The sequence below is a fragment of the Homo sapiens genome, chromosome 10 (genome assembly GCF_000001405.40).
Source record: "Homo sapiens chromosome 10, GRCh38.p14 Primary Assembly".
NCBI lineage: Eukaryota > Metazoa > Chordata > Mammalia > Primates > Hominidae > Homo > Homo sapiens.
This window is the reverse complement of record NC_000010.11, coordinates 122,753,574-122,774,260: the sequence shown is the minus strand read 5'-3', so window position 1 is coordinate 122,774,260 and position 20,687 is coordinate 122,753,574. Positions and strand designations below refer to the sequence as shown.

At 41.3% G+C, this 20,687-nt stretch overlaps 1 pseudogene across 1 annotated transcript in view, besides 2 other annotated features; it reads right to left on the bottom strand.

The window, feature by feature from the left end:
• DMBT1L1 (deleted in malignant brain tumors 1 like 1 (pseudogene)) overlaps positions 1 to 17,567 on the bottom strand; it is a 40,952-nt pseudogene extending 23,385 nt beyond the window's left edge. The window contains exons 1-10 of the transcript NR_003570.2: positions 17,238 to 17,567; positions 17,029 to 17,100; positions 16,767 to 16,864; positions 12,768 to 12,836; positions 12,433 to 12,501; positions 9,448 to 9,477; positions 7,891 to 7,938; positions 4,906 to 4,935; positions 3,147 to 3,218; positions 2,016 to 2,163 (exon numbers count right to left, since the gene is read on the bottom strand). The product of NR_003570.2 is annotated as a deleted in malignant brain tumors 1 like 1 (pseudogene) (transcript). The remainder of the gene's footprint in view (positions 1 to 2,015; positions 2,164 to 3,146; positions 3,219 to 4,905; positions 4,936 to 7,890; positions 7,939 to 9,447; positions 9,478 to 12,432; positions 12,502 to 12,767; positions 12,837 to 16,766; positions 16,865 to 17,028; positions 17,101 to 17,237) is intronic.
• Positions 5,555 to 6,054: an enhancer, noted in NCBI's record as "H3K4me1 hESC enhancer chr10:124527723-124528222 (GRCh37/hg19 assembly coordinates)". NCBI's record gives its function as "activates a minimal SCP1, AML or CMV promoter by ChIP-STARR-seq in naive H9 embryonic stem cells {active_cell/tissue: H9 hESC(naive)}" and the evidence as "EXISTENCE:reporter gene assay evidence [ECO:0000049][PMID:30033119]".
• Positions 6,055 to 6,556: an enhancer, noted in NCBI's record as "H3K4me1 hESC enhancer chr10:124527221-124527722 (GRCh37/hg19 assembly coordinates)". NCBI's record gives its function as "activates a minimal SCP1, AML or CMV promoter by ChIP-STARR-seq in naive H9 embryonic stem cells {active_cell/tissue: H9 hESC(naive)}" and the evidence as "EXISTENCE:reporter gene assay evidence [ECO:0000049][PMID:30033119]".
• Positions 17,568 to 20,687: the final 3,120 nt, after the last annotated feature.

The window sequence follows — 20,687 nt, the reverse complement described above, 5'->3', positions numbered from 1 at the left end:
TACTGTTTTTTACTCTGATGTTTTGTTCAGATGTTCCCAGTGCTAGAATCCAAAAACCACTTTCATGCTTCAATCTGATGAGCCATCTGTTCCAAGCCATATTTCGATTAAACAAAATTCAAGCATAATAAATAATTTAACTTGTTCGTAGGGGCTGATTTCCACAAAAAATTCACCATGAATTTGTCATCAGTGAATTACCATTTAAAACATTAAAATCTAAAATTTCCTGATTTATTACGTCTGGGGTACCCTAGAATTTATATCTGTAACCAGCAGTCCAGAATACACACACACACACACTCTCTCTCTCTTTCTCTATCTCTCTTTCTCTGCTCTTTTTCTCTCTCATGCACACACACTTATCCGAAGAATAAAAGGTCAATTTCATTTTAATTAAAAATTCATGAAAACTCATAAAAATCATTGTATTTCTCTATACTAGCAACAAACATGTGGACACTAAAATGGAAAACACAGTGTCATTTATAATCACCCCAAAAAATAAAAAATAAAAGAAATACCTAAGTATAAATTCATAAAAGATACATAGGATTTGAATGATGCAAATTACAAATAGCTAAAATATAATACCCCATACTAGCTATCAAAGATGTGGAGAAACTGGATCTCTCATATGTTGTTGGTGAGAATTTGTAATGGTCGTCACTCAGGAAAATAGTTTGGTATGTTCTTAAAAAGCTAAATGTGTACTTACTGTACAACCTAGCAATTGTACTCTTGGGATTTATCCTAGAGAAACAAAAGCTTATATTCACACAAAAAACTGTGTATGAACATTCATAGAAGACTGATTTGTAAAAGTGAAAGACTATAAACAACACAAGTGTCCTTCAGTGGGGAAATGATCAAACTAACCCTGGTACATCCACACAAATGGAATACTTCTCAATAACAAAAAGGAACAAGCTGTTGATACAACAGTTGTTGGAACAACAACAACAACAACAAACCAAATAACTCTATTACAAAATGGGCAAAGGACATGAATGGACATTTCTCAAAAGGAGACATAGAAATGGCTAATGAGTATATGAAAAAAATGCCCAACATTACTAATCATGAGTGAAATGCAAATTAAAACCAAAATGAGATATCACCACAGCTGTCAGAATGGCTATTATAAAAAGAGAAGAAAGATAAATGTTGTCAATGATGTGGAGAAAAGGGAATCTTTACACACTGCTGATGGAAACGTCAATTAGTATAGCCATTATGGAAAACAGCTTGGACGTTCCTCAAAAAACTAAAAATAGACCTACCACATCATTCAGCAATCCCAGTTCTGGGTACAAATCCAAAGGAATTAAAATCGGTATGTCAAAAAGGTATCTGTACTCCCAAGCTTACTGCAGTATTACTCACAATAGCCAAGATATGGGAACAATCTATGTGTTCATCAATGGATGAATGGATAAAGGAAATGTGGTGTATATGCCTGTGGAATACTATTCAGCCTCAAAAAAGAAGGATGTTCTGTCATTTGCAACATGGGTGAATCTAGAGGACATTATGTTAAGTGAAATATGCCAGGCATGGAAAGACAAACACTGCATGATCTCACTTTTAGGCAGAATCTAGAAAGCTAAACTCATAAAAATAGAGGGTAGAATGATGGTTAACAGAGCCTGGGGGTAAGGGTGGAGGTGCATGGAGAGACAGAATTTGGTCAAAGGGTACAAAGTTTCAGTTAGATAGGAGGAATAAGTTTAACAGATACATTGCATGTCATGGTGACTGTAGTTAGCAATGGTAATGTATTGTATGTTCCAAAATTGCTAGAAAAGTAGAATTTAACTGTTCTTTTCACAAAGAAATGGTAAGTATGTGAGGCAATGGGTATGTTAATTAGACTGACTTAATCATTCTGCAATGTATACATGTGTCACAACACACATCCTACCCTATACATATATATAATTATTATCTGTCAAAAACAAAATAAGAAAGTTAAAAAGCTACACAAAGTACATTAGTAACAGCTTATGACTTACTCAAGATGTGGAAATGCCAGCAGTATATGATCAGATGCATTTGCCTTGATTTCCCACACACAAGTGATGTTGTCATGCATTTCATTCTGTGGGGGATTCCTAATCGCTCCAGATGAGTTGGTAATAATGCCACCACACCGAGATTTTTCTAAATGCAGAAATATATTTTAGAATTTCGATTGTTTGATTGTTCAGTTTACTAATTTTGTAATTCACATCTTTTTTTAAAAAAACTCTTTTTCCAAAAAGGATTTTACTGGTCATTACTTTGTGATTATGTCTTAGGACATATCAGAAGTTATCAACTAGTCTAAAAAGCCTTGCAAACTTAGAAATTAAGGGATAAATGCATCTGAATTTTGAAACATTTCTCATCTCTTTTGAGAATTCTGCCATCTACATGGGCTTGCTGGAAAGAGCTCTTTTTTTTCCTTTTTTTTTTTAGACACAGTCTCACTCTGTCACCAGGCTAAAGTGCAATCACATGATCTTGGCTCCGCCTCCTGGGTTCAAGTTATTCTCCTGCCTCAGCCTTCTGAGTAGCTGGAACTACAGGCACGCGCCACCATGCCCAGCCAATTTTTGTATTTTGAGTAGAGACGGGGTTTCACCATGTTGGCCATGATGGTCTTGCTCTCTTGACCTCATGATCCACCCACCGCGGCCTCCCAAGTGCTGGGATTACAGGCGTGAGCCACCGCGCCTGGCCTGGAAAGAGCTCTTACGCGATATCAGCCAGAACGTTTTTCTCTGGCTAGTTGTGGGCTCTGTAGCTTTGACTTTTGCCCAGTCACTAGTAGTAATGAGTAAAGTACTGCTTCAGTTTTCCCAATTAATCTGAGCCAACGTGGAGCTTCTGTGTATATGAAGATGACAGAGTCCATCCACTATCAGTTGTAATTTATTCAAATTGCATTCTTAAAAACTCACTGTTAAGTACAAAGAAGTTGCCATTAGTCATCCACTCCTGGAATACCCCTAATACTGATAAGATTTTGTATCTACCTGTCTGCCTACCTGTCCGTTTGTTTCTCAACCCGCTTGTCTGTCTGTTCTGCCTCTCTGTCTATCCATCATTGTCAAATGAATGAAGTTTTTCAGAAGGCATAATACAAAAAGACACAGCTCTACCTGGTGGTGCAGAAGACGGTGGGTGTTGAGCCACTGATATCACCAATGATGTGGGGAGCAGGTTCTCATGGGCTAGTGGTGGGCAAAAAGGAAGGACTGTCATCAGGGAACATCACAACATGGGGAGAGGATACAGTTGCTTCAAGGGGATGCCCATCCCCTCCCAGGATTCAGCAGGAATAATGGTGAGGGGGCATTCTGAGGCCCATGAGCTCAGATCCCTGAGGTCTCCTTTTAGGGCAGAACATGACATTGCTACTGTGGATGAACTAATGTGCACCCTGTGGCAATCAGCAAAAGCGAAGCTCATAGGCCGTTGGCCCCAGGGGGCTGGCTGTCTAGAGGCCATCCATTGGCCAGCACCTCTCTCTCTGTTGCCTCCTCCCTACATATGCCACTGTCATGACTTGGAATCTGCTCTGAATTGGCATGAGGAAGCCTTGCACGGCATGGGAACTGTTTTTGACTGTGGTAGTAGTTACACAACTGGATACAATTACCACAATTCACCAAACTGGACCTTAAAATGGGCACATTTTATGGTATATAATCAAACTTTAATAAAAAATGAGATGGATCGATGTATGAATGCAGAAATGAAAGATGAATTTATAGACTCATCATGGAATCTAGGTAGGAGTTCCTTGTTAAATTCTTCAAACTTTGTTGTATATTTAAAAATTTCCATAATAAAATGTTGTAGGGGAGGAAGTCTCCCTTAATTCCTATTACAAATCCTATGTCTCTGGTTTTTGGCAACAATTTCTTGCTTTCCACAGTGGCACAGGCATTATGTAGCTAGACCATGTAGCTGCTTACTCTCTCCTTATTAGTCACAGAAAGCCAAAGGATTAGAATTTTAGGGAACATAGAATCCAACAAGCCTGTTCTAATGATGAGGAGACTGAAGGCTAAGGTCATTCATCCAGTGAGAGGCCAGCCTGGATCAAATTCCTGCAGGCCAGACCCTTACCATCCCTCACACCTACTTCCTTAGGTCCACATGTGCCCAAAACAAGCAGCCATTGCTGCATAAGTGCTGCTGGGTAACAGGTACCCTTAGGCATTGCCCTATTCATGCCCTTATTCAAAGCTCTTTACTGTCCCTACTTCCATGAAGAGGAAAATAGGATGAGAGATAACATAACTTGGCTGAGGTTATGTAACTGAGGGTGATTATATATCACATGTATCTCTCCTGTTGGAGTATAAACCCCATTAAAAAAATAAACAGGGGGCCAGGCGTGGTGGCTCATGCCTATAATCCCAGCATTTTGGGAGGCCAAGGTGGGCAGATCAGGAGGCCCGACGTCAGGAGTTTGAAAGCAGCCTGGCCAACGCTGAAACTCCATCTCTACTAAAAACACGAAAATTTGCCAGGCGTGGTCGTGGGCACCTGTAATCCCAGCTACTTGGGAGGCTGAGGCAGGGAGAATTGCTTGAACCCGGGAGAGAAAGGTTGCAGTAAGCTGAGATAGTACTGCTGTACTCCAGCCTGGGCAACAGAGCAAGACTCTATCTCAAAATAAAAAAAAAAAAAAAGAAGAGAAGAAGAAGAAACAGGGCAGTTTTGACCACCGCTGTATCCCCATCCCCAGTGCTTGGCACAGAAGTTGGCACAGGGTAGACACCCAGCCAATATCTGTTGCATGAATAAATGATGCTGGGAATCAAATAAAGATCTGATTCTAAACCTCACAGTCTTTTTTACATCAGGGTAAGTCTAGTATTTGACACTGAATGTGACATGCAGTCCTACCTGTAGGCAGAGCAGCTGTGGAATCAGCACCTGTCAACATAAAGAAGAATTGTGCATGTTATCTTGTCTTCATTGGCAAAGGTTTATTGGGAACTTCCTACATTTAGGGAGCTTAGGGCAATGGAAAGGAGAAAGAGGCAGAGGCTTTGCTCTTGAGGATTTTGGCATTTCCTGAGGATTTGAGACAGGACATTGGGCAGCAAATGTTGACTGTCCCAGGATAGCCAGTACTTCCCCAGGGGCCTCAGGTGCTGAGGAAGGCCCCATACTCCACAGAGGGGATGTGGCTCAGGATGAGCCAGATTCAACCTGCAGAGCTTGTCATTCATAGAGACATTATTCCAGCTGCAAGCAGGAGAGGACCAGAAAAGACTAGGGAGGACCAGGGGGACAGATTGGTGTGGGAACCTTGGTAGGCTAGGAACATGGAGGTCCTGAACACCAGCTGATTGTTTTGGCTTGTTACCTGGATGCCACAAGCTCAAAAGTTTCTGAGGATCATGCAGGTAAGCTAAATAGAGTGGCGGGGAGGTGTGTGCTGTGAAAACTGCAAAGATATTCCATGTCCAAAGGAACAGCTCTTTCTCAGATCCAGCCAGTTAATGTAGTGAAAGGATGCATTGTTCTGTGCCTGAAATTCTGCTTTCACTTATTTATTGTTACAACATGTAAGAATTTGAATTTTTACGTCAAATGTTTTGATTTTTAAATTCATGTTCATCCTGATTTTCAAACTGAAGAGGTTTACCTCTGAGCCTGGGTGCAGCCTGTGAGTCATACTTACAGATCATTGCAGTCAAGGAGATGGTCAGGCTTATGTAGAACTTTGAAAGGCTGTAGGCAGTACCAGTTACCTGCCTGGCTCCACTATGTTCCTGGACTAAGCTGTGGGGTGTGGTTTGTGTGTGTAGAGGAGAGAGGAGTGAAGGAACTAGAAGCAGCCCTCCAAATGAAGATTGACAACCAGACCCTCACCTGCACAGATGACACTGGCATCCTCCAGGTGCCCACAGTTGTGCCTGGCCCAGCCCCTGTGCACGCACCGCCCCAGGTGGCTCTTGCTGCCCACACACTGCATGTCATCCAGCAGGACTTTCCCAGAGCTTGCCCCGAAGTGGGCTGCCATGGCCTGGCCACATTGCAGCTGGCGGCACACAACGGCGGCCTCGGCCAGGTTCCAGAAGTGGTCACACACCGTCCCCCACGTGCCCTGGATGAGAACCTCCACGCGGCCTAAGCACCTCCCTGTGCCATTCAGCAGCCTCACCTCCATGCAGGCTCCTGCAGCTGGTAACTGATGGTGGAATTTTAGAAGATGTTGGTGCCTTTGATATAAAAACGCTTTCTCCCTGAGGTTATCCAAGTTGCTGGGCTGCCTGTTTCCCTGAAATGGCAGCAGCTGCCCACCAGAGTGAAATGCTGGTGGGCAGAAATTCTCCTCTTTTCTCCTCCCATAGGGAATCAGTTCAGCTTAGACATGACTCCCTGGACTCTGGAGTCAGACTGCCTGCATTTGCATTCCACACCCATTGCTTTCTAACTGTGTGGTGTGGTCCTGGGCAAGTTCCTCTTCCTGCCTGATTTCTCCTCTGCAAACATGGTGATAGCAATAATGCTCATTTAGTAGAGTTGCTCTGAGGACTAAATGGGGTAATGCATATAAAATGCTAACATAGCATAGCATGTGCATAATCAGTGTTTAATGAATATTACCACTCTTGTTCTCTGGGACAAGTGAGAAAACATGGTAGGAATTGAGTTATAGTCAGACCAATGATACCTGTGGAACGAACTCAAGACTTAAGGCTCAGGGGCCCTCCCTGTGCTCATATGTCCTTTAAGATCTGAGGAATATGGGTAAAATGAGAGTGTCCAACAGATAATCAACGCAGCAAAGTCAAATCCTAGATTACCTCTTTCCTGCCTATTCAGAGGAAGACACGGAATAACCAATGAGCTGTGGGGTCTCCTGTGAGTGTGATGGGATGCATGCACCTCAAGCACCCTCACAAGGTACTTACAGGACCCCTGGCTGTAAATCGTTCCTTCAAGCATTGTCCTTCTCTTTGCTCCTAGAAGCTGTTGCTATCCCCAGGACCACAGGCTAAAATTCTATCCATCCTACAGCTCTCCTCCCCTTGCCACCTCCATCGACCCTTCCTGGAATCCCCCAGTTGTAATCCTCTCCCTTCTATGTTCTGTATACCTTTCATGGCACTTCCCATCATCTACATTGATGGTGGTGGCCTAGTGTGTGTCTGACATCCTTACTGGATAATAGACACATTTGGGGCAGGGACCAACAGATGGAGTGGGTAAGAGCATCAGTTTTAGAGTTAGAACAGGACAAGTTATGCAAGCTCCCTAAGCCTCAGGTGCCTAGCTTGTAAAACAGGAATAATAACCAAGAGGAACAAATAAGATAATGCATGATATAAGCTTGACATAGGGCCTGGTGCATAGTAAGTACTCAGTTAATGTTAGGTGCCATTGCTGCTGCTGCTGTCCCTGTGTCTGACTTCTTTCTGTGCTCTCTCACCACGCCTGGCACATGTGTAAGTGCTCACTAAATGGCCATGGTAAAAATCTGACTACCTCAGTGAATGGAATAATTAAGTTTGTCTCTGTGCGCACGTGTGTGTGTGTATGTGTGTGTGAATATGCACACACGCGCCAGGATAGTCAGGGGACTGGTTGCTAAGAACTTTACATATAGTAACCTATGTAATCCCTAACTACTCTTTTAGGTATTTCACTTAGCTAAGTGATAACATTCAAGTGCAATATACAGATGTCTCACAGTCTATGACTTGGGCAGATATTGCAGAGAGGACTCAGACACTCAATGGGTTCAGGCTGATGTTGGGGACATGGGGGTAGGGTGAGGTCAGAAGAGGTAGACCAGATGTTCATGAAAGTCCTCTCCAGCCCAATGCTCTAGCACTTTAAGTCCAGGTGTTTGTGTGCCTTGTGGTAGGGGCTTACCATAAATTGTGGGTTTTGTTGCCCCAGGAGCAGCAAATGACTCAGGAGCTGTAACGGAGACAAAACAAGACGGTAGCTAGGATCGCATTTATCATATGCTATCTCTTTGCCAGACACTAGGTCAAATGCTCTGCCTGGGTGACCTTGTTTTAACTTCTTGACCACCAAGTAAGGGATGGACTATTTCCTCCTATTTTACAAATGCAGAAACCAAGACTCAGGGAGAGTGAGTTGCTTGCCCAGAAGCTCAGTGCTTGGAAGTGTCTGAACTGGGATATGAAGCCAGGTCTACTTGTTTTCAAAGATCCTAACCCTAACCAGCTCATTTCTTACTGAAACAAGATTCAGGTAAAATAAGGTAACTGTATGAAGTCTACATTTTTATTGCTCATTTTGTCTTCTTTTCTGATGTAAAAATATGGGAATAAGGAGGAAATTAAACTCAGAATTTTTGCTGTACGTTCTTAAGTATCCATCCAAATTTAAACTTTATATGTCTTTGATTCTGTACAAAGACACACATCAGGGACCACCATGATTGGTGTTTATTAGCCAAATTATCTCAGGAGTGAAGTACTATGGACAGAAAGTGTCCCCAGGTGAAAAATATGAAAGTACTGACTTTATTATCTGTGTGACATTTCTCAGAAGACTGATATCACACTTATTTGAACATGTGGTTTAGAATCTGGCAGCAATCAGCCTGATGATTTATTACCAAGCATAAATGTTGCATGGCTTGTATCGACTTCCCATTTTTCAATTCCATGTCAGGTAGTTGGATGTTTGAAATACCGGGATAAACATTGGCACCATTTACTGAACAACTACTATGTGTCAATATGTTTTCTAAAGGAGTACAGCAGATAAGATGTAAGAAAAACAAATAAAGCTCTTTTGCTTCTTTGAGCCTTAGTTTTATCATCTGAGAAATGGAGATAGTCTCTGTGTTGGCAACTTCACTGGATATTGTGAGGATCAAATTAAATCACGTGTATGGTGGCAGTTTGTAAATATCAAGTGTCCTGAATCACAGAGTATTATTTTCTTAAATTGACTAACTAGGTTCAATCACGTGTTAATGATGTGGTTTCATTGCCTGGAAGCTAGCAATTCAGGTGTTACAGATGCCAAAGAAAGGTGATGTTGATCATTCTTCTATACCTTTCAACTCACATATGCAGTAAAGGGCAAGAAAATGGAACTAGTCCTAACACAGACGAGGACTAATATATTCAAGGTGACTTTTATTTTCTTTCCTGATGTACAGAGGTTCCTGCAGGCTTGTACCACTTAGGGAGCTTGGATGCTGCTCTTTGTTCGTAAGAAGCTGTGCATGCCAGTCCCTGCAGTTTGAGCCTGCAGGTTAAGAAGGCTCTGTGGAGGCAATCGCAGAGTACATTGCTTTCCTCAGGGAGGTCAGCTGGATATCTTGCAAGATGAACTAGAAAGAAGACTTGTAAGATGAGGTAGGAGGTGATCTTTGGCTCTTGGTTAAGATCAGTAGAAAATATCCACAAGTGTTTCATCTAGTTAACAAAGGGAAGTTGGTCCTACCTGTTGGAGAAGTGATTGAAGACTTGGCACCTACCAGTAAAGAGAGAACATCTATCATCTATATACTCTCATGTGTGAGCTATCTGCAGCACTGCCAATTCTGTAGAAAGATCCTGGGGAATAATATTTTACATCTAAGTGAGGACTGAGAGCCATTCCTTCACTTGTGCAGATGATGCTGGCATTCTCCAGGTGCCCACAATTGTGCCTGGTCCAGCTCCTGTTCACACACTGCCCCAGGTGGCTCTCACTGCCCACATGCTGAAAGTCATCTAGCAGGATCTTCCTGGAGCCTGACCAAAAGTGGGCCCTTATGCGGGCTGCCATAGCCTGGCCATATTGCAGCTGGTGGCACACAATGGTGGCCTCAGCCAGATCTCAGAGATCACCACATGCGGTCCCCTGTGTGCCCTAAATGAGAGCCTCCACAAGGCTTGAGCATCTCCTCATGCCATTCAGCAGCCTCACCTCCCTCCAGGTTCTTTGTGGGGGCACAAGGGGAAGGGGACTGGGGACTGGGCTCCTTGTGTCAGGATATTGCCTTGATCCTGTTATATTGAGCTCTTATACTACTAGTTATATATATATTAATATCTTTCATATACCACAAAATAGTCATGATAATGATAATAACAATACTAATATTTCATAGGGTTTACCACCTTATAGACACCATAAGAGTGCTTTACAAGTTTAATCTTACTTGACCCTCACAATGAGTCTTTGATATTGCTTTAATTATTTTTTCCTTTTTGCTAATAAAGAAACTGCAACTCAGGGAGTTCAAGTAATCTGCTCAAGGTCATACATTTCTATGTGGCCTTCTCAAATTTGAACACAAGCATTCCAATATGGAACTTTAAATTTTAAATTAAGAAAATGAGACTTTACTTGCTACTGAGGAATGAAACATGTTGGTAGAAGAGCTGAGGCAGGACTGGCTTGTCTGTCATAATATAAGAGTCTTAGAAGATGTCCAGGGTCCAGGGTCTAAAACTCCTTGTGGCCTTTGGAACACCAAGCTCTGTGCCAAAGGGTGGAAGGCTGCCCTGCCACACCACAAATCTAAGCCCAGGGCATAAAACCCCTCGTGGCTTGGATGGAATCCAGGGCTCAGGGCATAAAACCCCTCATGGCCTCTGGAATGTGCACAGACTTATTGGTTGCTCTCCCAGGCTCGTAAACATGTTCTCCATCATCTCAAGCAGCTATATGCATCAAAGAAAATGCGAAACCGACACAGCTACACTTGATGCACCACTACCTTTCTACCCCCACATCCGCACGTCCTCACCATCTGTTTCTTTGTTGATCACCAGTAAATAGTGTAGGCTCCCAGAGCTTGGGGGCCTTTGCAGCCTCCATACCAGCACTGGCCCCCTGGACCCACCTTATGTACTCTTAACCTGTCTTTTCTCATTCCTTTGACTCTGCTGGACTCTGTAGCCCCCACGGCCTGGTGTCAGGTCTGATCACCCCAACAGAAACAGGCACCATAATTTGCAGAATGAAGTAAACTAATTTGTAAAACAGATAAGTTGTATTATACAAAACTACAACATGCAAGACAAATGATCTAAACAGCTTTATAGTCCCATCTATTCCATGATAAAACTATAAACAAGCTGCTTTTAAATAGTATCTTTGCATGGATTTGTGTTTTAAGGACACGACCACTGACTCTTCTAATAACTCACCTGGTTTCCAATACTGGTCAATCACTACCATGCTAAAAAGGGTTGTTGGTTGAAAATCTGTAGAAGGGTTTTTTATTTTTTTCCCCGCTCACAGCCAGGGAATTTATTCTCTGGAGAAATTAAATCCCGAAGGTCCATTCTTGCAGACATCAGGTGAACTGAGGGTAGAGCTGAGATCTGGACGTGTTAGCTGTCTTTCCCCATTCTGCTGCTGGAAAACCAGCAGAGAGACATCACCTAACTTGCATCAGCTCCTTAGTGCCTCATTCTTAAATGCAAACAGATAGCCAGGAATGCCTGGATCTTTAAGAAAAGTATCCAGCCTAAGAGGCATAAATTAGAACAACTAGAAAAACAGAGAAAAGAAACAGGGACAACAAAAGGAGAAAAAAGTTTTGAGTAGAGTTATAATACGTATACTGAGACAGTTAGAAAAGGTACTGCATCTGTGAAACAAGAACAGAAAGTTATGAAAAAGGAAAAGCCAGGCAATAAGAAAATGCACTTGGAAATTAAAAAATACAATGGCTGAATTTTCTTTAAAAACCAAACACTTAAAGGATAATGTTGAATAAAACTTTAATACACAGCAAAAGATCTTAAAATGCAAAATTAAAAACAAATAAATTACAAAATTTAGCTGATCAATATAGGAAATCCAACATCTGTCTAAGGGATTTCAAGGCGGAAAACAGACAAGAGGAAATTATCAAACAAATAATTCAAGAAAATTTGCGAGAACTGAGGAATATGCATCTCTAGACTAAAAGCTTAAATGGAGTATGTAGAATAATGTGTGAAAAAAGACTCAGACCAAGGTAAAACATCATGGAAGCTCAAGACACAAGAACAGAGAAAGGTCCTAAAAGGTTTCAGAGAAAACAAAAGACAACACACAGACGATCTGAAAGACATCAGACTTTACAATTTCTGAATTAAGGTCTTGATGTATCTGGGTCTTAGCAATTAGGTCTGCCGGAAGTTTCTGTCCCTCTAGCATTGTCTCCCTCAGAAGCTTTGGCCAAGTAGAGGTATATGGGATTGGGACCTGAGAGTATGTGCTCAAATCCTTACTCTACCATTTTCTAGTCAATTAATCCTAGGTAAATTAATTTTCCTCTGTCTTTCTATGTAAAAAAATGAGGGTGGGTCAGGAGTAACTTTACTTGTAGGTTTGTGTGAGCATAAAATGAGATGTTAGTTAAGTGAAAGCATCTACTTCTCTGCTTATCACATCATGGTTGTTTCATAAATGTTAGCTACTTCACCCATTTTCCAAAAGACTTACCTGCTGGGGGCATGGGTGTGGATGGCAGGGTCATGGCTGTCGTGGCTATGGTTGCAGATAATCCATCACCTGTCATAAGGACAAACAGAAGCATCCCTAATAGTTAGAACATCCTCTAAACCCAACTTTAGAAAGATGAAGATTTGAAAATAGACACAGCCTGAAGGTCACCGTCAAATAGGCAGCATCAGCTCCTGAGTTAGCTTCTCAGAGGCAAGGAGAATTTGCAGGAGTATGATCACACCCAGTGTGGCTTTAGATCTGGGAAGGGACAAGCCTAGGGCTTGGAACACGGTTCCCTTTCCCCATTCCCCACAGAACAAATGCCAACTGACCTGTTGGAAAGGGGGTTGAGGGAAGCACAGCAGGCTTTGTGGTGGGCACAGCTAATAACAGTGCTTGACCTGTGAGTATAAAACAAAGAGAGGCCTTGTTCACTGCTAGATACCTCCTAGCTACACACAGAAGGGAAAACTTCTGACAACAAGCCCAAAGAGAATGACTGGGCTCAAATGTGTCCAGTCAGTGTTTTGGTTGGCTCCCCAAGAGGCAGATTCAGGTAGGGAGGATCATCCACTCTCCCTTCTCTACCACATTCATCTATCGCTAGTTAGAGCATAATGGGATGGAAAATCCAGTACGTTTAGAACTCTCACCTAGTTAGCACATTCTAACCCTTTAAACACCCATAAAATAAATTCTGAAAGGAAAAATTCCTTTTAGGAACAAACCAGATATATTTAGTTAAATGGCTAAAGCTTTTGGTTTATTTCTAGATGTTTGCTGAATTTATTTGAACTCTTAGTAGCTTAAACCATGGGAGGCTCACATAACAAAATAAGCCTCCATTTGTATCCTATTAACTCATAAAATATCATTTAATTACTGTATTGTTTTATTAAAAATCTAAAATAATTATAATAAATATTAATATTTGATAGAATCTACTAGTGAGTATTCAATTGTTCATTACACTATTCTTGACGTATTCATTGGTTTTAATACATTTTATAATAAAATAAACTGACTTCGATTTCCATCTCAGATGTAGTAACTGGTGTGGGAGGTTAAATATTGACTTCCTTAAGCTGTCTATGTTTTACTCCCTGGAATCTGCAAATAGGTTACATGATATGGCAGAAGAGACTTTGCAGATGTGATTAAGGTGACAGGTCACAAAATGGGAGATTATCTTGGATTTTCTGGGTGCATCCAATCTAATTCTCTCTTACAAGCAGAGAATCTTTTCTGGCTGAAATAGAGAGGTATGGCAGAAGAAGAGGCAGGAGATATTTAAAAAGCATGAAAATGACTTGACTCACTGATGCAAGCTTTAAGATGAAGGGGTCATGAGCTAGGGAATGTGAGTGGTTTCTAAAATCTGAGAACAACCCCCACCCAGCAGTCAGCAGGGAAACAGGGACCTCAGTTGTACAACTGCATGTAACTGAATTCTGCCAACAACCCCAATAAGCCTGGAAATAGATTCTCCTTCAGATTTCTACTGGCATCTTAATTTTTCCTTTCAAGACTTGAAACAGAACAGCTAAGCCCGCTGGACTTATGACTTACAGAATTATAAAAATGACGCATTGATAATGTTTAGAGCTGCTAAGTTTGTAGCAGTTTGTTATGGCAGCAACAGAAAACTACCATAATTGGGTACAGATTTACCATTCTACAACTAAGAAATCAGAAAAAATACATTAAATTATGGCTTTCTGATCTTGGACAACAGGCAGCACAGGAGAGCAATCACTAAGAGAGAGTGAATGAGCATGGGGAGTCCTATAATTACCCTAGGTTATTAATTAGAGTTCCAGAGCACAACAGAGTGAAGAGGAACCCAGGTGGATCCTGGCAGACTCCTTCAAAAGATAGATCTGAAAATTCAGGGAAAACAAAGTGGCTAGAGTTCACTGGGAAGTACTGGAGGTTGCTCACCTCTCTGCCTACAGAGAGAGCTCCAGAGATTTTCAGAGAGTCTCTCTCAAGTTTTTATCTAAGTACTAATCAGCAGACGTGTGTGGAGCAAATATCTAAGACCAAGGTAAGAACTGCCTAAAAGGAGTAGAGGGAACAATCTTTGGTGATTGCACAGGGATGGGAATAGTTCCTTTTCCTACCAGCCAGAGTGAAACCAGGCAATACATGAGGCATTCGGTATGGTAATCAGAAGGGTATTTCCCAGTAGTGGGGAAAATTAGCTCCATACTAAAGTTCTCTCTACTCTTGCCTGACAAAACTTAATCACAAGGCTTAAATGGACCAAACTGTTTCCAAGTAACTTGAGTGATTTAAAGTAAGATTGAAAATAAACAATAACTCATACTCAAAATGGTAAATGGCAACATCTGGCATCCAATAGAAAATTGCCAAGGCTGTAAAGAAACAGAAAACTATGACCCATGATGGGAAGAATAAATCAGTGGAAACAGACCAATAAATGGTAAAAATAATATAATTTTTACACTAGAGAATGAAAACAATAATTATATCATACAATCAAGAAGGTAGAGGAAAGATGGAACATGAAAAGTATAGATATGGAAGATATAAAAAAGACCCAAATTAAACTTCTCAAGAAGAAAACAATAATGCCTGAGATGAAAAATACACTGGATATGATTAACAGCAGATTAGATACTGCAGAGAAAAAAGTAAGTGAACTTGAAGACATATCCAAAGCTAAATGCCATGGGGAAAAAAAAAAACTAAAAAAAAAATGAGCAGAGCACCAGGGAATTGTGAGACAACTTCAAGTAACCTAATGTATGTTTAATTGGAGTTCATAAAGGAGAGAAGAAAAGATGGGAACAAAATATTTGAAGAGATAAACTTCTAAATTTGATTCAAAAAAACCCTGTGAACCACAGATTCATGAACGTCAATGACCTCTAACCAGAAGAAACATGAAGAAAACTATCCCAAGGTACGTTATAACCAAATAGATTAGAATTCATATAAATAGAATATCTTAAAAGCAGCCAGAAATGAAACATTGTATACAGAGAAAAAAGGTGATAATGACAATAGACTTCTTGACAGAAAGAATGAAATTCTGACAACAGTGAAATAACATATTTAAAGCATTGAAACAAAAAGGTCAACCTAGATTTCTATACCCAGGAAAATTATCTTTAAAAAAATGAAGATGACATAAAGATGCTTTCAGGCACAGAAAAGGTGAAATAATTTGTCACCAGTAGACCCTCACTACAGGATGTATTAAAGGTAGTCTTTCAGGCAGAAGAAACAGGATGCCACATAGAAAAGATGTTTATTATAAATCCTAAAGTAACCACTTAAAATGCAATTATACCTAGCAGACAAAAAAGTAGACAAAATGGAACAATAAATTCCAAAAAAAGAAGACAAAAACGTGGTAAAAAAGAACAGGTAGAATGAATAGAAAACAACTGGCAAAATGGTAAATTTAAACAAATATCACAATGGTAGATTTAAACTTAACAGTGGTGATTTTTAAAATATACTCATAAATTATTTGATATTCCTTCCTTCAAGAGCTAGGGTTTGATTTCCCTCCCTGTGTTTTGGATTGGACTTAATAACTTACTTTTGATCAATAGTATAGAGCAAAAATTATGACTTGTCACTTCTGAGATTGAATTATAAGACTGTGGGTCCTGTCTTGAGCTCTCTCTCTGTCTCTCTCTCATCACTTGCTATGGTGGAAGTCAGCCTCTATTTTGTTCATGGCCCTATGGACAGGCCCATGGGGCAAGGAATTCAGAGAAGCCTACAGTTAGAAGCCATCAAGAAACTCAAGTCCTAAGTAAAAGAGCACATGAGGAATAGAAGACACCAATAAACCATGTGAGTGAGCTCAGAAAAAAGCCTATTCTTAACTGTACCGCTGGCCGACTGCTTGACTATAACCTCATGAAAGACCCTGAGCCAGGACCACCCAGCTAAGCTAATAAGATATGTGACCCACAGGAACTGAGCTAATAAATATCTGTCATTCTAAAATAAAAATTTTGTGTAATTTGTTATACAACAATGGATAATTAGTAAGCTGTATCTGCCAGTCATCATATTAAATATAAATGGTCTAAACACCACAAATAAAAGGCAGAGATTTCAAATAGGGTTTTTAATAAGCAAAACCCAAGTATATCCTACCTAAAAGAACTCTACTTTAAATTTAAAGATATGGCTGGGTGCAGTGGCTCATGCCTGTAATCCCAGCAATTTGGGAGGCTGAAATGAGTGGATCACTTGAGGCCAGGACTTCGAGACCAGCTAGCTAAATGGCAAAACCCCATCTCTACTAACAATACAAAAAATTAGCCAGGCGTTGTGGTGTGCACCTGTAGTCCCAGCTGCTCGGGAGGCTGAAGCAAGAGAACTGCTTGAACCCGGGAGGCAGAGGTTGCAGTGAGCTGAGTTCACGCTGCTGCACTCCAGTCTGGACAACAGAGCAAGACTCCATCTCAATAAATAAATAAATAAATTTAAAGACACAGATAGGTTAAAAGTAACACCATGCTCTATCAGGCCGTGCTATCCTGGCTTATGCAAGAGACAGAAATCTTTGCTTGGTTCTTTTGCTTTGGCAAAGATTGAACCAACCTGATGGTGTGTATGATGAAGTGACAGCTTCAGGCTCTGTGGTTGGAGCGAGACCTGGTGAATTGCCAGCACCTGATGATCAAAAGAAAAATCAACATGCTAACATTTACAGTGCCATTTATAATATAATGCTTAGTAAAATCAATCATTAAGTATTATTCGAAGGGAAAACAAAGAAGTGACTTCTTGTTAAGAAAACAGCCCCTTACCTGTGCAGATGACACTGGCATCCTCCAGGTGCCCACAGTTGTGCCTGGCCTGGTCCCCACGCATGCATTGACCCAGATGGCTCTCACTGCCCACACACTGCATGTCATCCAGTAAGATCTTCCCAGAGCCTGCCCGAAAGTGGGCCCCTGTGGGGGCTGCCACAGCCTGGCCACACTGCAGCTGGCGGCACACGACAGTGGCCTCAGCCAGGTCCCAGAGATCATCACACACGGTCCCCCACGTGCCCTGGACGAGAACTTCCACACGGCCTGAGCACCTTCCTGTGCCGTTCAGCAGCCTCACCTCCATCCAGGCTCCTGGGGAGGCACAAGAAGTAGGGACACTGGGGAGTGGCCTTTGGTGTCAGGACATTGCCTTAGTCTTATTATGTTGTGCTGATATATTGCTGATGTCATAATACTTATATCTTCCATATGATATTATTTCATAGGAAGAATAATAGTAAGAATAATAATCATAAATTCTACCACTCACATTTCATGGGTGATTACCAATAGCAGGTGCCATCCTAGGTTCTTTATAAGCTTGATCTTATTTGACCATTACATCTCTCTTTTGGGTCTATTATTACCTCTGTTTTTCACATGAAGAAAGTGAGACTCAGAAAGTCCAAGTTAGCTTTCTCAGGGCCAAAGTGGCAATGTGAATTGGAACTGGGTAGTTTGATTAGTATTTTGTACAGCTTTCTAAGGCCAGTGAACTTTTTTATATGTATTTCCCTCCCTGAAGTTACCCTTCTCCTTCCTTCTCTCAAGCTGAGCCCTGTGCCTCAGGTTACATACAGAGTAGAGAGCTGATATAGCCTGTAGGATGTTCTGGCTTTGGTTTCAAAGACCTGAGATCAAGGAAGAGAATAAGGTTTGAGGGAGAGAAGTGCTTATTCTACCTTTATGTGTAACTAAAAGGGTATTTCCTCTGGGTTAGGCAGACAGAAATTTCTATGGGTCTTGGAAAATCTGGGCTGGAACTCCTACTCCCTGGAAGTGCCTCAAGGAGGCCAGAAGACCCTGGTGAGCAGTTGCATTAGACATCTAGAGAGGTAATGCTAGATCCCTGGGCTCCCAACTTACACATGTCGCCTAAGCCTACACATGGCACAAGAACTCCAGAGGACCCCTGACCTGGGGGGGGAGTCCTCTCAGCCATGCCCCAGTGGACGCTTGCTAGTCTTTCTGTGGAAGTCGCCTTGCTATGGGGGAATGTCCCAGACTGGAGATTACAGCGCATTCTTTCTAGCACTAAAGACATTTCTTTTCTTTGCTGCCAACACAGTTATACTTTAAACCACAGAATATTCACTTAATGCCTATTATGTGCAAGGCTCTATAAGGAAGAGTTTACACCTTAAGGGCTTTAATCAGTGATAGGATGGAGAAAACAAAGGAGAAATCATCTCAGATTATTTCTATGTCTAGTGAAAGTAATTGTTAAACCTCTCAAAAATCTGGAATTCTGATGGTTGTTTTATTTAGTAATTCAGTGCCCTGATCATGATATTTATATTGACATTCTGTGTTCTAGAATTTTCTAGAAACACTGGTGAGGCTTTTTTCTTAAGCCAACAGGAGAAGTAAAAAATAGAACCTACTACTCCATTAGATTTCTTAAACAAAAAGTTTGAGAGTCTGTGTCTCATTATATTAACAGTGCTCTAGCTTACAAAATAGGAGTGGTAGTACAATACAATACAATATTACATAACGTCAATAATCCAATGCAGAAATATTTTTCATATCTAACATATGGGTTGTTTTGAGACCAAGTTAGAAAATATATGTGAGGAAAAATGTAGTGGAAATGTGAGTCGTTATGATAATCATAAGTAGATTATGCTCAGAAGGGAAGGGAAGGTTTTCCGAGAGATTCTAGGTCAATCCCCCCTTTACAGGCTCCAGTTCTTCTGAGCCAGCAGCCTCCATTTCATAAACAACCCACTCCTACTTGCATTATTCAGTGTGACCATTAACTACTGTTCTCAACTCAACCCTGCCAGGAACTATGCATAAAAAATGAACCTCTTTTCTCAACAAAGCTCCTGCGAGCAACCTGTGTCTGAAAATGGGGCCAGCTCTCTGTGCAGCACTATCGACAGGGCAGACTGCCTATGGCTTAGCCCTAAGGAGGGCATAAGGTTAGGACAGCTCTTACCACAGTCCATCGGTTCTACCCCGAGGAGGTTATGAAATAAATCAGAATCCTCCCCCACACCCTGATTTGAAGCAGTCTCAAATCAGGGGAAATGCATCGTATTCTTCCTCCCGAAATGTCCTTGTGGTGCTGGAGTCTAGCGGGTCTGCACGTGTTCATTACTTGGAAGAACACAGAAGAGCAGGACAGATGCCTCAATCAGATGTGGCAGGCACAGTGACTGGGGTCCACGTGACTTTTAAGGGCTCCCAAACCTGCCTTCATTTGTTTTAAAATCAGAAGAAATGACTACAATATAGTCTTTATACCAACACAACCATAAAATAGAAGATACACATACATATCTGTGTGTATATAAATATACTTTTTTTTTAACGGAGGTAGGGGTCCCTGAAGGCAAAAGTTCCTAGGGGCCCAGAATGTCAAAAAGTGGCCCAAGTGAAGGCCTGAAACAGAGGAGAGACCTCTGCCTGCTGTGTAGTGTTTTTTGAGGAGGTAGCAGAATGACTGTAAGGCTAGCTTAGTACATCTACACAGCCTTAAACTTCCACCATAGTATTTATTCAAAACACAGACATGCACACACACCATTAGGCTTGGCCTAGACAAATTGAGTTACTACTGATGTGAGTTACTGCAGAACCAGGCTTAAAGTGTCAGAATGCTACAACAAACTTTCTTTCTTTGTAAAGCAGATGTATAGATGTTTCCTGCCCACCTAGAAGGAAAGAACTGGGATTTGGGTTTACACCTGATATACAGTATCAGGTAAACTAAAAGGATAAGTCTTGCCTAATTATCACAGTGGAAAATATAAATTAGGAATTTTATATTAAAAGCTATAGAGTAGGTGACAACTCGCAGCCGACTCCCTGATTTCCTAGTTATAGTCTTGATGTACCTGGGACATAGCAATTAGGCTTGCAAGCATGTTCTCTTCCCATTAGCCCAAAGGTAGCTTTGGAGAATACTGTCCCACCATGAAAGGTAACTGGCTAAGCAGAGTCATATGGGTTTGGAGTCAGACATATTTGTGCCCAAATCTTGGCTCTACCACATTCTAGTCGGGTGACACTAGGAAAATTTTCTGTGTCTCATTTTATGAAACAGTGAGGTGAGGTGGGGGGAAGGGTAACACTTGTAGGTGGTTTGAGCATAGACTAGTGACAGCGTCTGATTCTTTGCTTATCATATTATGGTTGTTTCATAAGTGTGAGCTCCTTCCCCCATTTTCCCAAGCACTTACCTGCCAGGGGCATGGGTGTGGATGGCAGGGACAC